Below are 23033 nucleotides of genomic sequence, written 5' to 3'. Positions count from 1 at the left end.
AGACAGTATTCAGTTTATTTGAGAAGCAGGTGAATTACATATGAAATGAGTACACCATCATCCTCGCGTCCAGGCTATCAGTCTACAAAAAAAAGTCTACCTTCTGTTCTTGCTATGGCTCTGAAAACTGGACCTGCCTAAATTACCTTAAAATTAGTTTTGTTTTACATATATTAACCACAAGAGATGCTTCCCCACCATTCTACAACCATTCAAATAATGAAATAAAATAAAATCCTCATAAAATTTCTTCTTCTTTCAATTTAATTATCCTACATAAGCTTCTAGATGCTAACTAACTTAGTAATATACTATCATAAGACTTCAGAAATGGTAGTTTTTATTCTGGTATACATTTGAGTAGGTCCAGGACAAAAAAAAAAAAAAAAGAAAAAAAAAAACGAGTATAAGTATCCCACTAGGATGCCCTTTGCTTTTATCAGCTTCTGTACTGAGAGGTAGAACAGGCAGTTTAGAAAGGAAATAACAGAGTTTCATTCCAGTTTCTTAAATTTGAAACCCTTCTTGCAAAATTTTAGCAGTATTACCATCAAAAACAAAAGTCCTCAGACGTTAGGTACCAATTAGCCTGCAAAGCCATACCTCCACCTTTAATTTCCTCTCTTTAACCCATGATTCAATCCCTTTTCATGTCAGTATTAGCAACATATTTTCTTTGATCCTCTACTGTAATAAAAATAGTTTATTTTTAAAAAGCAAAAACTTATATTTTGTTTTTTGTACAAATAATTAATGTAAAAATTTCATAGGTATTATTTAAATAGAAATGAGATTTTTAGGTGGAATGAGAAGCATACAGTTCTACTTTTTTTGTGAATATTTGCATAATCTTATTTAGACTATAAAGAATGTTTCCTATGAATGACATCTTGATTTAGTAACATACAGTAAAGATGTATGGCTTGATGGGAGGCATTAGGCACTCATACTAGGAACAGGATAAAGACCAGTTTCCTACAAAGTTAGCTGTAAGTTCATGACTAAATTGTGTTTTTTTCAAAAAAAGAAAAAAATATTATATTTATTTTAACCTTAGTATGTGTGAGAAACTTTCAAATACCTTCTTCAAGGAAGCAACTTAATGAGAAAACTATTAGTTTGTATAGTCAGACACACATGAATTGGAATTCTGCCTCTGTCCCTTAGCTACCTTGGGCTGATTACTTTATCTCCTTCTATTCCTATGCATGAATTTGAATATTTGACAAATGTAGTTAACTGGTTGGTCAAATGAAACTTGATTATAATCTTAAAGAAAGGAATGGTAAATAATGAATATTGTCATTAGACTGGTAATATAAAAGTCATAATCATTTTACTATAACAGCTAAATAACATGCACCCTTGAGAATAATAGAAGTCAGCCTTGGTCTCCTGTGTGTTATCTTGTGATTTGTGAAATAATCAGCCTTGTGAAATGGTAATGGGCACTTAAGAAAAATAACGGACTTTACTTGGCTAAACACTCCACACTCAGGGAAGGTGTTACTCACTTAGGCTCCAGAAATGATTGTCTTGTTATAACTTGAATTATCCTTGCGTCCACCACAGGCATAAACTACAAATGCTACTATAGTTACTAATGCTACTACATGAAAAGCATTGGTCAAGTAATAGTACAACCATTGCCAAACTCTCAAATTGTGAACTGAAAGGTCTCTGTTGATACCTATTCTATGTGTAGCATCTGTGAATAGAGAAATAACTCTACATCTTGATTTGGGCTCATCACTATCTTTGAAAAATTTTACAAGTTGTTTAGTTAATTCCTTATATCATTACAAAACTCTTAGTGATTGTCCAGCAAGCTGTGGAGATAAGAGACTTTAACCTTATAGTAACCATTTCAGAATGCCAAGTTTAGAATAAAAGTTTAGAACAATGGAGCCCACTTTCTACAAACAACAAAAATCTTGTGTCTACTTTGGTCTATTCTTGGATGTTAGCTCTGGCATCTCATATCATGAGTAGTGTTGCCACTCACTTTGCAATTAAAAAAGAAAGAAAGAAAAAACCTATGGGCGAAGTTCTTGGTTCTAAGAAAAGAAGTCTTGAGATGTCATACATTTTGAAAGTATTCTCATTCATTCAAGAATGATAAAATATTGTTGAAAATTACTTCAAAACCAAAAACACACACAAAAAATAACCAACAAAACAAACCTTTGCTAAAAAATAAGTACATATGTCTGTTTCACAAATAAACAAATAGATGCATTAGAAGGTTAAGTAATTTTTCCACAGTTATTTACTCAGTAACTCTGCAGAAAAGTATTCAGGAGCAGAAATGGAAAATCCTAACTTGGAAAGTCCTGCTTTGATTACTAAACAACAGTTTCCTTAAGGTAACACATGATATTGAGACTAAACAAAATAAACCCAAACATTTTGTGTAAGATAGGGATTGAATTTATAACACAAATGACTTTGCACACAGTAGGTACTCAATAGAAAACTATTCAATAAACTACACTGTGGTTCTCAGTCTGGCTGCACATTCAGATCACCTGAAGAGCTTTTTAAACATACCAAATGCTGGTGCCCATCCCAGATCAACTGAAATGTGATCTTTGGTGGGAGTAAATACTTCTGCTCAAAATATCCCCAAATAGTCTATTCATTTCTTCCTTCTGCTTCTCCTTTTCCTCAGGTTCTTGCAACAGAGAAGGAGACAAATGCATCACACAAAATCACACCGTGAGGGTAGAGGAGCACACAGGGAAGCACTGTGGTTGGTAAGGAGGGAGAGGGAGAAGGAGAAACTGTGGGCAAGAAATCTTACTGTGGTTCCCATGAGAAGGAATGGGCAAGGCTGGGTAAGCAGGCCTCAAATTGGCTATTTTGAATAATTCCAATGGTCTTTAGGATATAAGGGCTGTTTCAAGTTGTCTGGTACCTGGCCCTACAGTGATTAGAGAAGGTGAATAATAGCCTAAAGTGTGAGAGCCCAATAAAGAAGGTGGTTGAGGATATGAGCTCTAGATTGGTTGATTTGCATTTGAAAAGCATGCTCACTGACTGAGTTGTTTACTGTCTGTAGGAATTGAGGTAGTAATATATCTCTCCCTTTATGCTAACCCTGGGTAGGATGGAGAAGTTAGTTTCTCCAGGGTTACCAAGGCCCCAAATGTCACAGTATCATAATATAGAAAATAAAAGACAAGGTTAATACAACTGGCCCTATCATGCTGTTGCATCATATTAAGAAAACGTTGGGGTGATAACAGGGGAAACCTTTAGACAATAGGGCATAAATTGCCTTAAACAGTATAGAAAATATTTTATTATGAGAGTAGAAAAGAAGACCATGAGTAGAAGTATAAGCATTTCTTATAGACCAGCATATAACCAAGTTTCCCATTTATATGGCATTAGTCAAGAAAATAGATCTGAAATTTCCAGGATCTCTAATAATATCTTGGTAGAGTTGCAAAGTGTCAAGTGGCAAAGTGTTCTGGCAGTTATGTTGTTGGAGAGTATGTGGTTGATTGTTTAGTAAATTATACATAAAGATTAGTGATATTTGTGTATCACCAATGAAAATGGTTGATTACTATGATCATGATTCAAGACACAGGGCAGGAGGTTGTTGTGGAAAACTGGAGGTGGGTAATAGAAGAAAGTCCTGGAGTGGGTAGTTCTCTCCTCAAGGGGCCTAGGGTTGATTGAAATGTGCAGTTGCCTCTGGGGGAAAGTAATAATTTCCATTCATTTTTGGAATGTCATAGATAGTAGTAACCTCTATCAGATTTTCCTTTAGAGAGGAGTGTGCGTATTTTGTCATAAAGCAAGGGGTATACCAGGATCATGGGCTAAGCAGACAATGAGACTAAGCAACAGAATCCTCAATGTCAGAGGAAGAAAAGCAATAAATGTCTCATGTCCACTTTGTCAGGGCCTTAGGAGAAGTCCATGTGTGTCACTGGGATGGAGGCTTTGACTTCATGGGTAAAGTCATCTCTGGTGCTGGGGAAGAATTCGTTTCCATTGATGAAATCTTGGGTTGGGGCAATGTCATCCAGGATGTGGGACTGAGGATTGTTTTCAAGTTTATGTCCACTCACATTAATGTGGGTCTTACTTTTGTGGCTGTATGGTATTATAGTGACACGGAGCCATTTGTGTCATTTGGAGGCAATGTTAGGCCTGGGAGCCTGGCTTGCAAATATCTTTCAAGTCAAAGGGATTTTGGGTTCACAGCTAGCAAAGGTGATATTGGCATCATGATGCTGTTGTAATGGACAAATATGCCAGACCCAACTGACACCACTTAAGCCCCCATTAAGGATGGCCATGTCTAAAACTTTCTAATTAGTCCAAGGTTTCTATTAGATGGGTAATGAGAGGAGTTTTGTTGGAATTTGGTTTTGATTCAGATTTCCTAATTTGGTTGTTATTAATATGATGCCAGGTTATATGTCAAATAAAATATCTGTGCCTGAGTTTGGAGTGCCAGCATTAGCCTGTAGGCATGTCTTGTATTTTTTTGTTTTCTTTTTATTTCATTTATTTATTTATTTATTTTGAGATGGAGTCTTGCTCTGTCTCCTAGGCTGGAGTGCAGTGGCGCAATCTCAGCTCACTGCAACCTCCACCTCCCGGGTTCAAGTGATTCTCCTGCTTCAGCCTCCTGAGTAGCTGGGATTACAGGTGCCTGCCACCACGCCTAGCTAATTTTTGTATTTTTTAGTACAGACGGCGTTTCATCATGTTGGCCAGGTTGGTCTCGAACTCCTGACCTCAGGTGATACACACGCTTCGGCCTCCCAAAGTGTTGAGATTACAGGCATGAGCCACCATGCCTGGCCTTCTTTTTTTTTTTTTGAGACTGAGTTTCATTCTTGTCACCCAGGCTGGAGTGCAATGGCACAATCTCAGTTCACTGTAACCTCTGCCTCCAGGATTCAAGCAATTCTCCTGCCTCAGTCACTCAAGTAGCTGGGATTATAGGCATGCACCACCACACCCAGCTAATTTTGTATTTTTTTTTTTTTAGAAGATATGGGGTTTCACCATGTTAGCCAGGCTGGTCTTGAACTTCTGACCTCAGATGATCTGCACAACGCAGACTCCCAAAGTGCTGTGACTTGTATTTTTAGCCATTTGTTGTAGGCCCTTTGCTTCAGTTGTTGGTTTGGTTGGTGATGGGAAAGCTGGTAGAGACTTTGGGTTATAGGGCTTGTATTAGCCAAATTCAATGGCATGTGGGCTTCACCATTGTCCATGTTTAGTTGAAATAATGGCTTACTTAGATGCTTTGAGCTTGTAGATTGCAGACCAGTGAAATCAGAATAATACTGATGAGACCAACAGTCAACAGGATAGTGTACAGCTGCATTTGACAGGTGTTTTGGGATTTGGGTTTTTTTTTTTTTTAAGTTTTCTGTCTGTTCCTGACTGCTTTTACCCTTTGGTTGTTTACCTGATAAACTCCTGGTGGTCCTGGATGACCATGTTCATACATGGTTGCTTCCTTCTCTAGAGTGTACCAACTGACCTCTGAAGGATTTGGATTTACTTCCAAGAGAGTAGTAATGCCTTATAAGTATTTTTGAGGCTCTGGATTTTGAACATAAGGCCCTTGGCATGCTGGTAAGCAGCAGTTCCCAATAAGACATGTGTGCACAATCTGAGTGTTTTACATTATTGAATCAATTGCATGACCTTCTCAAGGGTATTAGGTGGGCCAGGGATAAAGTGTTCCTTTCTTCATTTCTTTTTCTATAAGCATCGTGCCACTGATTTACATGGGTGTGACCCCTTACATCCTGCTTTATCAGGAGACAAATTGTGACAGCAGCAAGGCAAGCAACAACACAAGAGTTTACATTGGCTCCATGTGTGCCTCACAACATATGAGAATCTCTAAACAGCATCCTCCCTCTACTCAATGGAGCAGACTGAAATGTACAAGGAAAATAATAACTTAGTTACCCCGCCACTTGTCAGTAATGCCTTGCTGATTGATAAAGCCCATTTCATATCACTTGGAGGGAAGTCTTACCACATTCCTTTTGGAGGAGACATTGCAAGCCTTAGCTGGTCAATATAGATGGATACTCCTGGGAACATTGTTCAGAATCTAGGCAATTGACTCAGCTTACACTGGGACTGCAGGAAAACTCAGCTTTCAAGTTCTGAATCTAGGGTGGGGATTTATAGTAATGCCTGCCAAATCCAACAAACAGCATTTGCAGCCACAGTGCAAGTGCATGCCAGTAGGTGGCGATACCTTTCCAGGCTGCCACTGACATCTGGTAGAACTACTTAGCAAGCTGTTATGGACTTGAAGTTTATGCCCTACTTCCCAGTTTAATAGGTTGAAATCCTAACCCCCAATGTGATGGTATTAGGAGGTGGCTGGGGTCTTCAAGAGGTAAGTTCAAGGTTTCCTAAAATCACCCTCAGGTTTGCTAATTCACTCAAAAGACTCACAGGACTTATTGAAAGCTATTGCACTCACAATATTTGCTACAGGGAAAGGATAGAATCAGCTAACGAAAGAGACATGTAGGGTAGAATCCAAGAGGATTCCAAATGTGAAGCTCTTATTGTCCTAATGACAAAGAATACCTCCTGGTATTGATGTACGACACTATCTACAGAGTATTGCCATCCCAGGAGCTCACTTGAACTCCCATGTTCAGAGTTTTTACTGGGGCTTCATTAGGTAGGCATAACTGAAGGATTAATTGCCCATATGGTTGAACCCAATCTCCAGTTCCTCCCTCACTATGAGTAACATTATTAGCATAATTTATTAGATGCAGCCCAAGAGGCCCACTGTGTTTCTGTACTATACACGTGGGAGTTTAGAAAAGTCCTGTAATGTCTTTAAGCTTGAGTTCCTTGTGTGTAAAAATTAGAATAATGATTTCTATCTCATAGGTTTGCAATGGTAAAGAATAAATTAATTCATATTTCTCACACATAGTAATTATGCAATAAATGGTGAAGTAATTAGGTCATGAGGGTGGATCCCTCTTGAATGCAATTAGTGCCATATAAAAAGAGACTTGAGAAGTTCCTTCCTCTCTGCCATGTAAAGTACAATGAGAAGACAGACATCTGCAAACCAGGATGGAGGCCTGGTTATTATTTCATTAATTATTAATTCATTATTATTTATTATTAACATATTATAAAATATTATTAATATTCTTCTCTTCCACAAAGTTATTCTTAATTCATTATCCATGCTTTCAATAAATAGTGAGAAAGGAATCAATGTGACCAGCTTATTTACACTACTGTTGGGAATAAACAAGAAGCCATGAAGCATAGAAAAGTGATTTTAATCCCTAATATAACCAGTTTTGAGTATCTAGATAAGTTTAAAGACATCTTCAAGTCCTGATAATCCATAATTCTGTGGGCTCTGTGGCTTTTTTGGTGTAGGAAAAGAAGTGCCTCTTGAAACAAGGACCAGAGTTAAAGTTCCAGCACTACATTTGTTAAGTGTGTGACCTTAGGCAAGTTGTCTATCATCTCTCTACCTCAGGTTTCTTTTCTGTAAAATGGGAGAAAATAATAGCTACCTCAAAAGTATTGTTAAATTTGGAAAAGATAGCATACTGAAAAATACACAGCACAGCACTGTGAATTACACATAATAGGTGCCTAATAAATAAAAATTTTAAAATTTATGTAACAATTAATCTCTTACTTAGTGCCAGTCACTAGAAGGTGTGAATGGTATAGTGATGAATAAAGTTTGATCATTGTCCTAAAAATGTATTTCATCCAATAGGAGAGATAGACAAGCACACCAGGAGTGACCATACAGTTGATAGATCTAATTTTTTCTCTTTTGCCTTTCAATGTAAATGAGTCAACCCCTGAATTTATGGCTTTTTCTCCTCTACTTTCATTAGTTCTTGCATCTGAATAGATCTTTGAAGCATTTACGCATGTAAATCAAATAAATAATTATTTAATTAGTGAAATTTCAGAAAATATAAAATGTAGGCAGGTGTTTTTTTGATAAGGAGTATTTGATGACTCCTTACTTGCCAACAAATAGACCCAAGTGACAATCGATAACTTTTTACCAATCTTCTTTTTCATTATGCAAGACTGATAGACAAATTGGGAGGTCAAAAGTACTAGTTTAATTGAATGCCGACATTTATCTTTTAGACTGTGGCTGTGAATAAATCATGTGAAAAATGAAGATAGCATAAATTAGAAAAGATTATAGCCCCAGATTTGCTTCTAATTTCCAGTCTGATCTTTGTAGGTCTCAGCGAGTTTATTTCCCAGTTTTCTTTTCTACAAATTGAGACTATGAGACATGCTATCTAAGGTCCCCACCAGTGCTATTTTATGGCATTTTGCATATTAAAATAGTGGAGCATTAACAATACATGCACAAAATATAGATTTGGAGAATGAATAATCACATAACTGTATATATGTAATTATCATTTTACTAGAAAAATTGCATAAGCTGATTAGATTTAGCTATATGAGTTTTTAAATAAATTTATCATTTCATATATTGCTCATTTTTCAGAAATATCACCGATTTTTAAAAAATACAATAAAAATATTATCCATTCAACAGAGAAGTGAAACTAAAAATATTAAGTTTTCTATTCATTTCTTTCACTAGTAATTATCTCAGAATCCCAAGATATGCCAAATCTTACAACATTAATATGCTTGCTGTCGAAATTTACTAATTCTTTCAAAACAGCTTTTGTATTTTTTCTTGACTTTATTTGTTTAGACCCTGTGCATTTTCAAATGAACACAATGCAGGTGATGAAAACAAATAGAAAGCAGTAAGATAAAACAAAGTAACAGTAGAGCAAGTGTGAAATGAGAGTTTATTGATGCTATTGTAGAAGCTTTCTCTATCTTGTAGGGCCATTCCATTTTTTATTACTAAATCTGGCAAAACAATGAAAACAATATTCAACACATTTTGAATATTAAGCATTTAACTGTATGTGTGCCAGACACTTGGCTAAGAACTTGACACATATTACCTTATTTAGTCCTTATTGTAACAGTAGTAGTTAGATAGTATTATCACTCCATTTTTCTAATGACAAAACTGCATTAGAGAGATTATATATTTTATCTACATTCCAGAAGCTATAAGAGGCATACTTTAAACCCAGGTTTTTCTGATGCAAAAGCTTACACTCTTACCCTTTTCATATACTGCTTCTCCTCAAAAGTTATCTCTTATAGACAATGACATCTTATTGCAAACCTCTTTGTGCCTATTGCCTGGTACAGCAATAAGCACATAGCGGGAAGAGAGAAGTCTAACACAGGAACATAGCTTTAGAGATTTAATGTTCTAGGTATACAAAGAGAACTAACATCTTGACATATTGGGCGAAAGTTTTTGCTAATATATGTAGTAATTGCTATTTAAAAAGTAGTGCTGTCTGCATGATAGGAAGTCTCCATCCTCATTCTTTAAATAATGGTTTAACAATGATACACCGACCAAAATAGTTTTATGAGGTTTCCAGAATCCAGTTAAGAAGTTGCAATACCTCAGGTGAGCACAAAGCTGAGAAGAGCTTAAATGAAATGTGTAAGAAGAACAATTTCACTATACCTGTGATAGCTCTTGCCCTAAGCCCATACAGCTCAGTATATATAGAGAAAGCCCTGGCATGTGACTCTGCCTTGGGGGAAAGAAAGAGAATCCAACATTCTGACTTTATGGAGCCCTACATAAGAGACTGGTTTCTGTTTCACCTCACTTCTCATTCAGAATACAGATAGAACTGACATGACATAGGTTGGAGGCCTGAAGGCAACTGAGAATAGCAGAAAGTGGCTGGCAGCCTGCAGCCATTAGTACCGCTTTGCATGATTGGGAGAAGGCTCTAATCTGAGACTTCTCCCCCAGAAGGTAGAAAGAGAAATGGAGTTTGCCTCCAATGTCCGAGCTTTTTGGAGAACTCCCTAAGGGACTGATTTCTCCCTTAACTACTTTCTCAGCTGGAGTGCTGTAGGAACTAGCACAGGTTGTAGGCCTGGGGGTAGCAGAGACAACAGAAAGCAGAGAGTTGCCTACAGCTGGCATGGATTTGCATGATTGAGAGAAGGTGCTCAATCTGAGTCTTCTTCTCAAGGAGAAAGAGAGAAAAATGGAATTTGCCTGCAACGCCATGTGTTTTTTGAGAATCGCTTGAGGGATTGGCTTTTGTCTCACCTCATACCTCACACAGAATGGGAGAGAGGGAGAGGAGCAGAGTGTGTACCCTACAATTCAGCTTTCTGGAGGACTGCTTGAGGAACTGATAGCGGTCTAGAATGACTAAGGGTGTGGACAGGGAGCTACTTGATGGCCACTGGGAACCAGAGAGCATGGGACAGCTTCCTCTTCTAGTACTAAGAACTTGTAAAGCCACATACACCAGAGTGCACAAGAGATTATGAGTTCCTGAATAAAAGTAACCAACAAATCCCTCTAATTGGGGCTTTAGATGCACAAGTCCAGAGAAAATACATTCACAGGAAAGGTTTGAGAGGTCTCCAGATTCTCTAGCTGGGCTGACCAATAAAAGTCTTTCTCTCTATAGTGCTAGTCTACGAAGACTACTTGTTAGTCTTTGTAGAAGTCTTCATTAGTCTTTGGGAAATGTGGCTGTTTTTTCAAATGCATAGATATAAACACAAAGCTTCAAAGAACATGAAGAAACAAACAAACATGGCCAAAGTAAAGGAACAATGTACATCTTCAGAAATCAATCCTGAAGAAAAAAAGCATGCAATATATTTGAAAAATAATTGAAAATTACTGTCATCAAGATGCTTAATGAGCTCAGGAGAATGATCCATGAACAAAAATCTTTAAACAAAGATACAGAAAATATGTTTAAAAAGAAAAAGCAAAAATTTTGGAGCTGAAGGATATGATAACCTGAAGAAATTCACTACAGGGGTTAAACTGCAGATTTGATCAAGCAGAAAAAAATAATCTGTGAATGCTGAGATATGTCATTTGAAATTATCCAATCAAAGGAACAAAAATTTAAAAAGAATGAAAGAGTGAAGAAACCCTAAGGGACTTATGGGGTACTATTTATAAGTCAATATATTGGAGGAACAAAATGAGAAAGAGGCCAAGCAATTATTTCAAAAAATAATAACCAAAAAGTTCCAAACTCTGAAGAGGAAAATAAATATCTATATTTAAAAAGCTCAACAGATTTAATGTAGGATGAATGCAAAGAAATCCACACTGAGACATTAAAATCAAATTGTCAAAAGACAAAGACAAAAGAGAATTTTGAAAGCACCAGGAGAAAAGCAACTCATCATATACAAAAGAGTCTGCACAAGGCTGTCAGCAGATTTCTCAGGAGAAACTTATAGACCAGAAGGGAGTGGGTTAATATATTCAAAGAGCTGTCATTAAAACAAAAAAACACTGCCAACTTAGAATACTATAATATCCAGCAAAGTGTCGTTCAAAAGTAAAGGACAGATAAAACCTTTCCCAGGTAAACATAACCTGAAAGAGTTCATCGTCTTTAGACCTGCCCTAAAAGAAAAGTCAGAGTCCTTCAAGTTGCAATAAAAGAATGCTAAACAGCATCATGAAAACATATGAAAGTATAAAGCTTACTGGTAAATCTATCTGCATAGAAATATACAGAATATTGTAATACTGTAATGGTGGTACATAAATCATTTTTAATTCTAAAAGAAATTATAAAACAAAAGAATAAAAAGTAACTATAGCTACAATAATATGTTAATGGATACATGCTATAAAAAGGTGTAATTTCTGTTATCAACGATATAAAATGGTGGGAAGGTAAAAGTTTTGAGTTTTTGTCTGCAATTACGATAAACTGTTACCAGTTTAAAATAGATTTTTATAGATATAAGATGTTTTATGTATGCCCTGTGGTAACCACAAAGAAAATACCTATAGAAAATACACAACAGGAAATGAAAGGAATCAAAGCATGTTACTAGCCTTTCATATCATTGAAATATGAAGGAAGACAGCAAGAGTAGAAAAGCGGAACAACAGAGCTACAAGATAGGCTTAAAATACTTAAGAAAATGGCAAGAGTAAGACCTTCCCTAACAATAATTACTTTAAATGTAAATGAATTAAACTCACCAATGAAATGACATAAAGTGACTGAATGGATAAAACAACAACAACAACAAGATCTAACTACATACTGCCTATAAGAGATTTACTTTAGACTTAAAGACACATAGAAGTTGAAAATGAAAAGATGTCGTATTTGTCAATTTTTGTTTTGTTGCAATTGCTTTTGGTGCCTGCATCATGAAATCTTTGCCAGAGCCTATGTCTAGAATTTCCTAGGTTATTGTCCAGGATTTTTTATAGTTTTAGACTTTACATTTAAGTCTTTAAACCATCTTGAACTGATTTTTGTACATGGTGTAAGGAAGGGATCTAGTTTCAATCTTCTTTATATGGCTAACCAGTTATGCCAGCACCATTCATGGAATACAGAGTCCTTTCTTCATTGCTTGATTTTGTCAACTTTGTTGGAGATCACATTGTTGTAGGTATGTGACATTATTATTGGGCTTTCTATTATGTTCCACTGGTCTATGTGTCTGCTTTTGTACTAGTACCATGCTGTTCTGCTTGCTGTAGACTTGTAGTATAGTTTGAAGTTGGATAATGTGATGCCTCCAGCTTTGTTCTTCTTGCTTGGGATTTCCTTGGCTATTTGGGCTCTTTTTGATTCCATATAAGTTTAAAATAGTTTTTTTCTAATTTTGTGAAGAATATCATGGGTAGTGTGATTGGAATAGCACTGAACCTATAAATTACTTTGGGCAGTATGGCCATTTTAACAATATTGATTCTTCCTCTCCATTAGCATGGAATATTTCCCATTTGTGTGTGTCATTTTTTATTTCCTTGAGCAACATTCTGTAATTCTTGTTGTAGAGGTCTTTCACCTGCCTGGTTAACAGTATTTCTCGGTATTTTATTCTTTTTGTGGCTATTGTGAATAAGGTTGTGTTCTTGCTTTGGCTTTCAGCTTGGATCTTGTTGGTGTATAGAAATGCTACTGATTTTTGTTGTACATTGATTTCATATCCTGAAAATTTCCTCTATTTGTTTATCAGATCTAGGAACTTTGAGGCCGAAACTATGGGTTTTTCTAGGTATAGAATCATATCATCTGCAAACAGAGATAGTTTGACTTATACTGTCTTTCTATTTGAATGCCTTTTATTTCTTTTTCTTGCCTTACTGCTCTGGCTAGGAATTCCAGTACAATGTGGCATCCTTGTCTTGTTCTGGTTCCCAAGGGGAATGCTTCTAGCTTTTGCCCATTCAGGATGATGTTGGCTATAGGCTTATAATAGATGGCTCTTATTATTTTGAGGTGTGTTCCTTCAATGCCTACTTTGTTAAGGGTTTTTTAGTTGAAGGGATGCTGAATTTTATTGAAAGTCTTTTCTGCATCTGTTGAGAGCTTCTGCACAGCAAAAGAAAGTATCAACACAGTACACTGACAAGTTACAGCAGGGAGAAAATATATGCAGACTGTGTATCTGACAAAGGTCTAATATCCCAAATCTGTAAGGAACTTAAACAAATTTACAAGCAAAAAACAAACATCCCGTGAAAAAGTGGGCAAAAGACGTGAACAGACACTTTTCAAAAGAAGACATAGATGTGGCCAACAAGCATATGATAAGACACTCATAATGCAAATCAAAACCATAATGAGATAGCATCTCACACCAGTCAAAGTGGCTGTTATTAAAACGTAAAAACAAACAAACAAACAAAAAACATAGATTCTGGTGAGGTTGGAGAGAAAATAGAATACTTATACACTTCTGGTGGGAATGTAAATTAGTTCAGTCATTGTGGAAAGCAGTGTGGCAATTTCTCAAAGAACTTAAAAGAGAACTACCATTTGACTCAGCAATCCCATTATTGGGTTTATACGTAAAGGAATACAAATCATTCTACCATAAAAACACATGCATGTGTATGTTCTTTGCAACACTGCTCACAATAGCAATAGCAATAGCAAAGACATGAAGTCAACCTAAATGCCCATCAATGGTACACTGTATAAAGAAAATGTGGTACATATATACCATGGAATACTACGCAGCCATAGAAAAGAATGAGATCATATCTTTTGCAGCAACATGAATGGAACTAGAGGCCATTATCCTAAGTGAACGAATGCAGGAAAAGAAAATAAATACTGCATATTCTCACCTGTAAGTAGGAGTTAACCATTGAAAACACATGGACACAAAGAAGAGGACAACAGGGGACTACTTGAGGGTGGAGGGTGACAGGTGGGAGGGGATTGAAAAATCTGTCTGTCAGGTACTATGCTTATTACCTGGGTGATGAAATAATCTGTATACCAAACCCGCGTGACATGCAATTTACCTGTATAACAAGCCTGAACATTTATCCCTGAACCTAAAATAAAAATTTTAAAAAAAGAAAGTTGAAGGATGGCAAAGATATTCCACATAAATGGTAACCAAAGACAGTAGGGGTATCCATATTTATATCAGAAAAAATAAATGTTAACTGAAGAGCTCTAATAAGAGACAAAGAAGGACATTACATAATGATGAAAGAGTCAATTCAACAGGAATATATAGTTATGAATATATATGCAGCCAACATCAGAACAGCTAAATATAAGAAGCAAACACTGATAGAACTGAAGAGAAAAAATAGATGACAACACAATAATAGTAGGATATTTTAATAACCCATTTTCTATAATGGATTGACATACAGAATTAAGGTCAATAAAGAAACAGAGGGCTTGAAAAATACTAAAAAACAAATAGACCTAACAGACATCTACAGAATATTCTACCCAAGAGTAGCAGAATGCATATTCTTCTCAAGCACGCATGTAACACTCTCCAGGAAATATCATGTTAGGTCACAAGTCTTATCAAATTTAAGACATTTGAAATCATACCATGAACCTTTTCTGACCACAATGGAATGAAATTTGAATTTAATAGCAGAAGGAATACTGGAAAATTCACAAATACATGGGAGTTAAACAACACAATCTTGAAGAAAGAATGCATCACGGAAGAAAACAGAAAATTTAGAAGATATCTTGAGACAAATGAAAAAGAAAACACAACATAACAGCAAGTACAGCAAAAGCAATACTAAGAGGGTAGCTTACAGCAGTTAACATCTACATTAAAATTACAGATTCAAAGTAAACAACCTAACTTTATGCCCCAATAAACTAGAAAAAGAACAAGCTACACCCTTAGTTATCAGAAAGAAGGAAGTAATAAAAATTACAGCAGAAATAGCCAAAATAGAGAATAGAATAAGAATAGAAAAAAACTCAATGAAGTAAGTTATTTTAAAAATCAATAAATTGATAAACCTTTAGCTATGCTAGGAAATAAAGAAGAGTCAAATAAGTTGGAAATGAAAGGGAGAAATAAAATTGATTATTAGAGGGTATTCTGAACAATTATACACCAATAAATTGGATAATATAGAAGAAATAAATTCCTAGAAACATGCAACCTACCAAGACTGAATCATGAAAAAATAGTGAATCTGAGCAGTATAACTAGAAAGGAGGTTGAATCCATAGTCAAAGCTGCCCAACTAAGAAAAATCAGGACCAGATGGCTTCACTGGTGAATTCTACCAGATACTTAAAAAGGAGTTAACATCAAATCTTTGCAAACTCTTCCAAAAATCTTAAGAGAAAAGAACATTTACAAACTCATTTTATGAGTCCAGCATAACCCTGATACCAAAGCCACAAAAAGACACTTCATAAAAAGAAAATTACAAGTTAATATCTCTGATGGATACAATTCAAAGTCCTTAATAAAATACTGCCAAACCTAATTCAACAGCACATTAAAATGATCATACACCGTGACAAAGTGGAATTTATCCCTGGAATGCAAGGATGTTTCACGGTAAGAAAATCAGTTAATATGATACATCACGTTAACAGATTAAAGGAAAATAAATCACATGATAATTTCAATAGGTGCAGAAAAAGCATGTGACAAAATTTAACAGCCTTTTATAATGGAAAACTTTCAGCAAACTAGGAATAGGATGAAAACCTCAACATAATAAAGGTCACATATAAAAAGCCCACAGCTAAAACCATACTCAATGGTAGAAAACTAAAAGTTTTTCTTCTAAGATCAGGAACAAGACAAGAAGGTCCACATTTGTCATTTCTATTTAATGTAATACTGGAAGTCCTAGCCAGATCAATCAAGAAAGTAAAAGAAGTAAAAGATATCCAAATCAGAAAGAGTAAAATTATCTCTGTTCATAGATGACATGATCTTACATGTACAAAACCTTAAAGACTTCACAAAAATACTGCAAGAATTAATAAATTCAGTAAAGTTGCAGGATAAAAAATTAATATGCAAATTCAATTGTATTTCTATAAAAAATGAACAATTTGAAAATGAATTTAAGAAAACAATTCCATTTACAGTAACATCAAAATTATAAAATACTTAGGAATAAACTTAACTAAGGAGGTAAAAGTCTTATACACTGAAAATTACAAAACCTTTATCCAAAAAATTAAAGACACAAATACATGGAAAGATATTTGTATTCGTTGATTGGAAAACTTCAGAGTATTAAAATGCAATCCCTATCAATAAAAAAATCCCAATAGCAATTTTTACAGAAATAGAAAAAACAAATCTAAAATTTGCATGGACCCAAAAACGGCTCAAATAGCCAAAGCAATCTTGAAAAGAAGGACAAAACTGGAGGCCTCACACTGCCTGGTTTTAAAACATATCACTAAGCTACAGTAATCAAAACATTATGGTACTAACTTAAAGACAGACATATAGACAATGGAACAGAGAGCCCAGAAATAAACCCAAGCATATATATATAATATACACACACACATATATATGATGCGGAAGCAATGTAAATGTCCATCAGTGTATGAATGAATAGAGAAAATTTGGTATACACATAAAATTATGGAGCCTTCAAAATAAAGGAAATCCTGTTATATGTGATAAGAGATGAACCATGAGGACATTGTGCTAAATGGAAAAATCCAATCACAAAAGGACAGATACTGCACGATTTCATTTATTTGTGTTTATATGTGTATGTCTAAAGCAGTCAATGTCATAGAAGCAGAAAGTAGAAGGGTGGTTTCCAGGGGCTGAGGGGAGGAGGAAATGGGGACTTGCTGTTTAATGCATTTCAAGTTTCAGTTATGCAAGATGAAACAGTTCTAGAAGGGATCTTTTGTACAACATTGTTCATACTGCTAGCAATAATGTACTGTACACTTAAAAATTTGATCAGAGAGTCCAGGCATGGTGACTCATGCCTGTAATCCTAGCACTTTGGGAGGCCGAGTTAGGCAGATCACTTGAGGCCAGGAGTTCGAGACCTGCCTGGCCAACACTGAAACCCCATCTCTACTAAAAATAGAAAAAATTAGCTGGGTGGGATGATACACACCTGTAGTCCCAGCTACATGGGAGGCTGAGACATGAGAATTATTTGAACCCAGGAGGTAGAGGATGTAGTGAGCCAAGATCGCACCACTGTACTCCAGCCTGGGCAACAGAGCAAGACTCTGTCTCAAAAAAAATAAATAAATAAAATAAATGGTCAGAGGGTCCCATGTTATGCCTTTTTCTTATTACAACAAAAAATGTGCATCATTACCTGTAAGGCTTATTCTTTGCAATTTATTCTAAACTTGCCTGTTGTTTGTGAAGTTCAACTTAACCTGCGTCCTAAGAGTAGAACGCTGGTAAAGGAATGTTATTGTCTTTATTAACAAAATGAGGAAACTGTTCTGGTGTGATTGGGCAATAATCTTGGGAGGGCTTGATTATACAGAATTTTGTGTGGTTGTTAATTATGATGTTGAAATGTACAAATATCCTCTGTCCTTTTTAAATTTGACCCTTAGGTCCTCTGAATTTTCTCTATTTTACTCTCCCTGCTGTGACTAATATCTCGAACCCATTATTGGATTTTGGCTCTGGATGCACCCTCTGCACTCTGGGCAGAGTTGAGAATTGCTGGAAACCGTAATTTCCGAGACATCTTTGTCAACTTGTTTACCTTTCATTTTTTGCCCATGAAAGCCAGAGGGCGACTGGAAGTCAGAGGAAAGGAACAAGCGACTCCCTCCCTGCATTTTAGCTTCTGACAGTGTCCCTCATAAAAATGGCGGGGCCAATATGGAAATAGCATAGACAGCATTCAGAGCAGCCACCTCCAGCTGCAGTCTCCAGACTATTTCAGGTCTCCTGCTGCCAGCTAGAAGGAAACCCCTCAGGGGACTAGCAGTAGCTTGGCCTTCGCAGTTGGAGTTACAGTTGTGGTTTCACCCTCCTCAGAGATCTGAATGTCGAATACATGATACCCGCTCCACAGAGTGTCTCTCCATAGGTCCAAGCACAAGCCCTCCAGATCCATCCTCTAAGCTCCTATGTTCTGGTAATCCCATTCTTCCCTCAGGTTTTTCCCAGTCTTAGGAGTGGTATCTTCTTTCTTAAGTTATTCATCTCTGGGTAGCCTCAATGTCTCTTTTATGCTCTTTTGACTTTTTACTACCTGTGTAAACAATTTTCTGTATTAAGTCACTTTCTTTGTTTTCTTTTTTTTTAATAGTACAGATGCAGAGAAGAGGAGGTCAACATTGACTGAGCCTCCAATGAAACGAATTTGTTACACCCTGCCCAACAAGTTATACCCCTACACCAACAAGGATCCAGATCCTTGGAAGGTGCACACAGAATCCTCCTCATTTGCATCAATGCATTGATCTATATCTAAGGGAAGTATTTATCTAGAAATGATCACCCAATTCCCACCAATTTTCTGAAGCTGGACATTAATGCTCTCACTTACATTTTAAGTCAAATGTGGGAGTGTGTTGCAGTAGTATTAAAACCTCTGTCAGAGTATCACAGGTATCGATGAGAAGATTTTACATTGATTTTCCTTTGTGAAGTAAATTGGTTGTTTTCCTTTTCAAATGAAACCAGGTAAAAGTCAGCATTGCCTTAATTTGGTAGAGTCACAACATAAATTCTTCCCCAACACAGTCTTTCCTAAGTCCTCATCATTTCCTCCTATTCTGAATCTAATCAAGTTCATCCATTGACAAATGATGTCCATGCTCTACTGAAAGTTCAAAGTTGGCTTGTAATTTTTACAAACTTCAAAGCAGAAAGTACCTATTCTTTGGAACTCGATAGATGTAGGGTTAAATCCCTGCTCTTTTACAGTCAGTAGTTGCTTAATTTCTTTAAGGCTGTTTCTTCATCTGAAGACTGGAGATAAACTGCCTACCTAGTAGGGTCAAGTGAGGATTAAATGAGATAATGTACATAATGCATGAGCACCCTGCTTAACAATGAACAGAATAGCTTAAGGAAGCTTATGGTAGCTCCTACTATTTTTTTCTTTCTTGCATGACTTTAAGTGAGCTCTTTAACTTTGCTAGATTTTTACCTTTTAAAACTCAGAGTTGTAGAAATGAAATGAGATACACGAGTATAACTATTTTTTGGAATGGGTTAAACTCTGTACATGTAATCATAAACAAGCCTTATTCATTCTCACCATTGCCTCTTTCAATAACTTCTGTCAAAGTTTTCTTCCCCTTCCAAGGTGAAATCCTGGGCAAATTGCATAGACATACACAGACTTTCAGATGTTTAGAAAGAGCAGTGCTGAAGGTCCAGTCTCTCAACCAATTTAAATCACTTTTTCCTCTGCGAATTCCTGGTGGCTTCAGGCTGGTGAACTGTAGAAAGGTGAACTGGGAGGGATCGGGCTCTGCATCTTCACCTTCTTCTGTCATAGACTTTGTATTAGGGTTCTCTAGAGGGACAGAACCAATGGAATATATATATATATATATATATATATATATATTCCTTGTGTATATATATATATATATTCCTTGTATATATATATATATTCCTTGTATATATATATACACATACACACACATATATACGCATATATTTACACACATATATATATATTCTCTAGAAGGACAGAACTAATGAAATATATATATGAGTATATATTATATATATAGAGAGAGAGAGAGAGGTTTATTAAATATTAATTCACATGATCACAAGGTCCCACAATAGGCCATCTGCAAGCTGAGGAGCAAGGAGAGCCAGTCTGAATTCCAAAACTGAAGAACTTAGAGTCTGATATTTGAGAGCAGGAAGCATCCAGCATGGAAGAAAGATGTAGGCTGGGAGGCTAAGCCAGTCTCTCTTTTAACATTTTTCTGCCTGCTTATATTCTAGCCTCACTGGCAGCTGATTAGATTGTGTCCACCCAGATTAAGAGTGGGTCTGCCTTCCCCAGCCCACTGAGTCAAATGTTAATCTCCTTTGGCAACACCCTCACAGACACACCTGGGATCAATACTTTGTATCCTTCAATCCAATCAAGTTGACACTTAGTATTAACCGTCACAGACTTCTCCTCTCCCTCCTCCCTGGCTTGCAGTCAGGGATAAAAGGATGTCACTGAACGCTGTAGTTGTCATCTGGCTTTTGTATTTTTTCATTGTTGTTGTATGCTCAATTGCATTGACTTTACAACTCCCTTTCATGAGTAGTTCTGAGGGAAATTAAGAAAGAAAGCAAATTCTATTTGGGGACTAAGATTGGGTTTTAAACAGCATGTGTATCAAGAAGTAGATGGGTTCTTTAGTAACCTTGTAATCTACAAAAGTGTTCATCAAGTCACTCCCTCGCCCTTAAACCTACAATTCAGGTGGAAATAGTGTACATGCTATGAAACACAACTTAAGCAAAATCTCTAGGGTGGCTTAACATAGTGCATATTTATTCTCTTAAAGTTATGAAATCCAGAAGTTCAAAATTATTTTCATCAGCTGAAACAAATGCTGGTAGTGCAGCAATTCTTGAGGAGGCTCTAGGGGAGAGTCCATTTCTTGCCTTTCAGTTTCTGGTGCCTGTGTGATTCCTTGGCTTGTGACTATATCACTTCAACCTCTGCCTCTGTGGTCACATGGCTGTCTCCTCTGTGTGATACTTCCCTCTGCCTCGTTCTTTTTTTTTTTTCTTTTTTTTGAGATGGAGTCTCACTCTGTCGCCCAGGCTGGAGGGCAGTGGTGCGATCTTGGCTCACTGCAACCTCTGCCTTCTGAGTTCAAGCGATTCTCTCGATTCAGCCTCCCGAGTAGCTGGGTTTACAGGCGCCTACCACCACACCTGGCTAATTTTTTGTATTTTTAGTAGAGACGGGGTTTCACCATCTTGGCCAGGCTGGTCTTGAACTTCTGACCTCGTGATCTACCTGCCTCGGCCTCTCAAAGTCCTGGGATTACAGGCATGAGCCACCGCACCATGCCTCCTCTGCCTCCTTCTTATAAAGACATTTGTGATCACATTTAGGATCCACCCAGATTATTTAGATAATATCCCCATCTTAAGATCTCTTAATCACATCTGCAAAGACCCTTTTTCTATATAAAGGTAACATTGATGGATTCCATGGATTAAAACCTGGATATCTTTGGGGATAATTTTTCATCTTGCCATAAACCTCAAAGATAATGTGAATACACTTTATATCAAACTTGATAGTGTGTCCAGAGTTTGTTCCTTCTGGTGGGTTTGTGGTCTTGCTGACTTCAGGAATGAAGCCATGGACCTTTGAGGTGAGTGTTACAGCTCTTAAAGGTGGTGCAGACCCATAGAGTCAGCAGCAGCAATATTTATTGTGAAGAGTGAAAGAACAAAGCTTCCACAGCATGGAAAGGGACCCCAGCAGGTTGCTGCTGCTGCTGCTGGCTTGGGTGGCCAGCTTTTATTCCCTTATTTGTCTCCACCCATGTCCTGCTGATTGGTCCATTTTACAGAGTGCTGATTGGTCCATTTTACAAACCTCTAGCTAGCTACAGAGTGCCAGTAGGTGCGTTTTTACAGAGCACTGATTGGTGCATTTTACAGGGTGCTGATTGGTCCATTTTACAAACCTCTAGCTAGCTATAGAGTGCCAGTTTTTACAGAGCACTGATTAATGCATTTTACAAACCTCTAGCTAGCTACAGAGCACTGATTGTTGCGTTTTTACAGAGCATTGATTGGTGCATTTTACAAACCTCTAGCTAGCTACAGAAAAGTTCTCCAAGTCCTCACTCAACCCAGGAAGTCCAGCTGGCTTCACCTCCCAATACCCCCTCTAAACAGGACACCCAAACTGCTGTTAGGGATTGGGCAATGACCACTCTAGCTACTTCCTGCTGGATAGAGGCAAAGAAGGGGTCCTGCAGTGGTAGTGTCCTCCAGAGGGGAACTCTCTAGGCCAGCCAAAGGGTCAGTGGGTTGGTCCAGGGATCCTTGGTAGAAGTTGTTAGTTGAGCTCATTTGGGGTTTCATTTGTAAGACCATCTGTAGCTTGATGGCATCAATTCTGGAGGAAACAAACTTGACAAGGAGGTTAAAAATACAGGGCCCAAAGGCGAGTAATAGCAAGATGGCTGTCACAGGACCTAGAAAGGGGAGAAGCCATGTTGCACAACTCCAGAGGTTGGTATAAGAGTGTGAAAGGCGTTTTCTGATTTCAGAAGCCTTTTCCTGTAAACACCAGGCAGCATCTCATACTATCCCTGACTTGTTAGTTTAAAAGCAACACTCTTCCCCTAAGAAGGGGCAGAGTCCTCCTTTCTCAGCAGTGAAGAGGTCTAGGCCCCAGCGGTTTTGGAGAGTCACTGCTGCCAAAGAGTCTATTTGGGATTGTAGAATAAGGATAGGTTTTGTTATTTCTTGTAAACTGAGAAATCTTTTGAGAATGTGTGGTAGTAGGATAATAAAGTAGATAAACTGGCTATTCCGGTTCCTAACCCTGTAAGTAGGGGTATTAGTTGTATGGCCCTCCGCTGACGGACTTGAGCTTTGAGAGGCACGGATAGAGTCTGATTTCCACAAGATTGGAAGTTAGGATAATACACATTACACTGTTAACT

At 37.0% G+C, this 23033-nt stretch overlaps 1 long non-coding RNA gene across 1 annotated transcript in view, besides 1 other annotated feature; it reads left to right on the top strand.

Annotated features, from left to right (window-relative positions):
- Window positions 1-19894, top strand: part of LOC107985243 (uncharacterized) — a 79017-nt gene extending 59123 nt beyond the window's left edge. The window contains exons 2-3 of the long non-coding RNA XR_001738357.2: window positions 2672-2756; window positions 18677-19894. This is a non-coding gene — a long non-coding RNA (uncharacterized LOC107985243). The remainder of the gene's footprint in view (window positions 1-2671; window positions 2757-18676) is intronic.
- Window positions 2743-3249: an enhancer, noted in NCBI's record as "NANOG hESC enhancer chr1:199085580-199086086 (GRCh37/hg19 assembly coordinates)". NCBI's record gives its function as "activates a minimal SCP1, AML or CMV promoter by ChIP-STARR-seq in primed H9 embryonic stem cells {active_cell/tissue: H9 hESC(primed)}" and the evidence as "EXISTENCE:reporter gene assay evidence [ECO:0000049][PMID:30033119]".
- Window positions 19895-23033: the final 3139 nt, after the last annotated feature.

Source organism: Homo sapiens, chromosome 1, assembly GCF_000001405.40.
Source record: "Homo sapiens chromosome 1, GRCh38.p14 Primary Assembly".
NCBI lineage: Eukaryota > Metazoa > Chordata > Mammalia > Primates > Hominidae > Homo > Homo sapiens.
The sequence above is the reverse complement of the archived record's forward strand: the minus strand, read 5'-3'. Positions and strand labels throughout refer to the sequence as shown.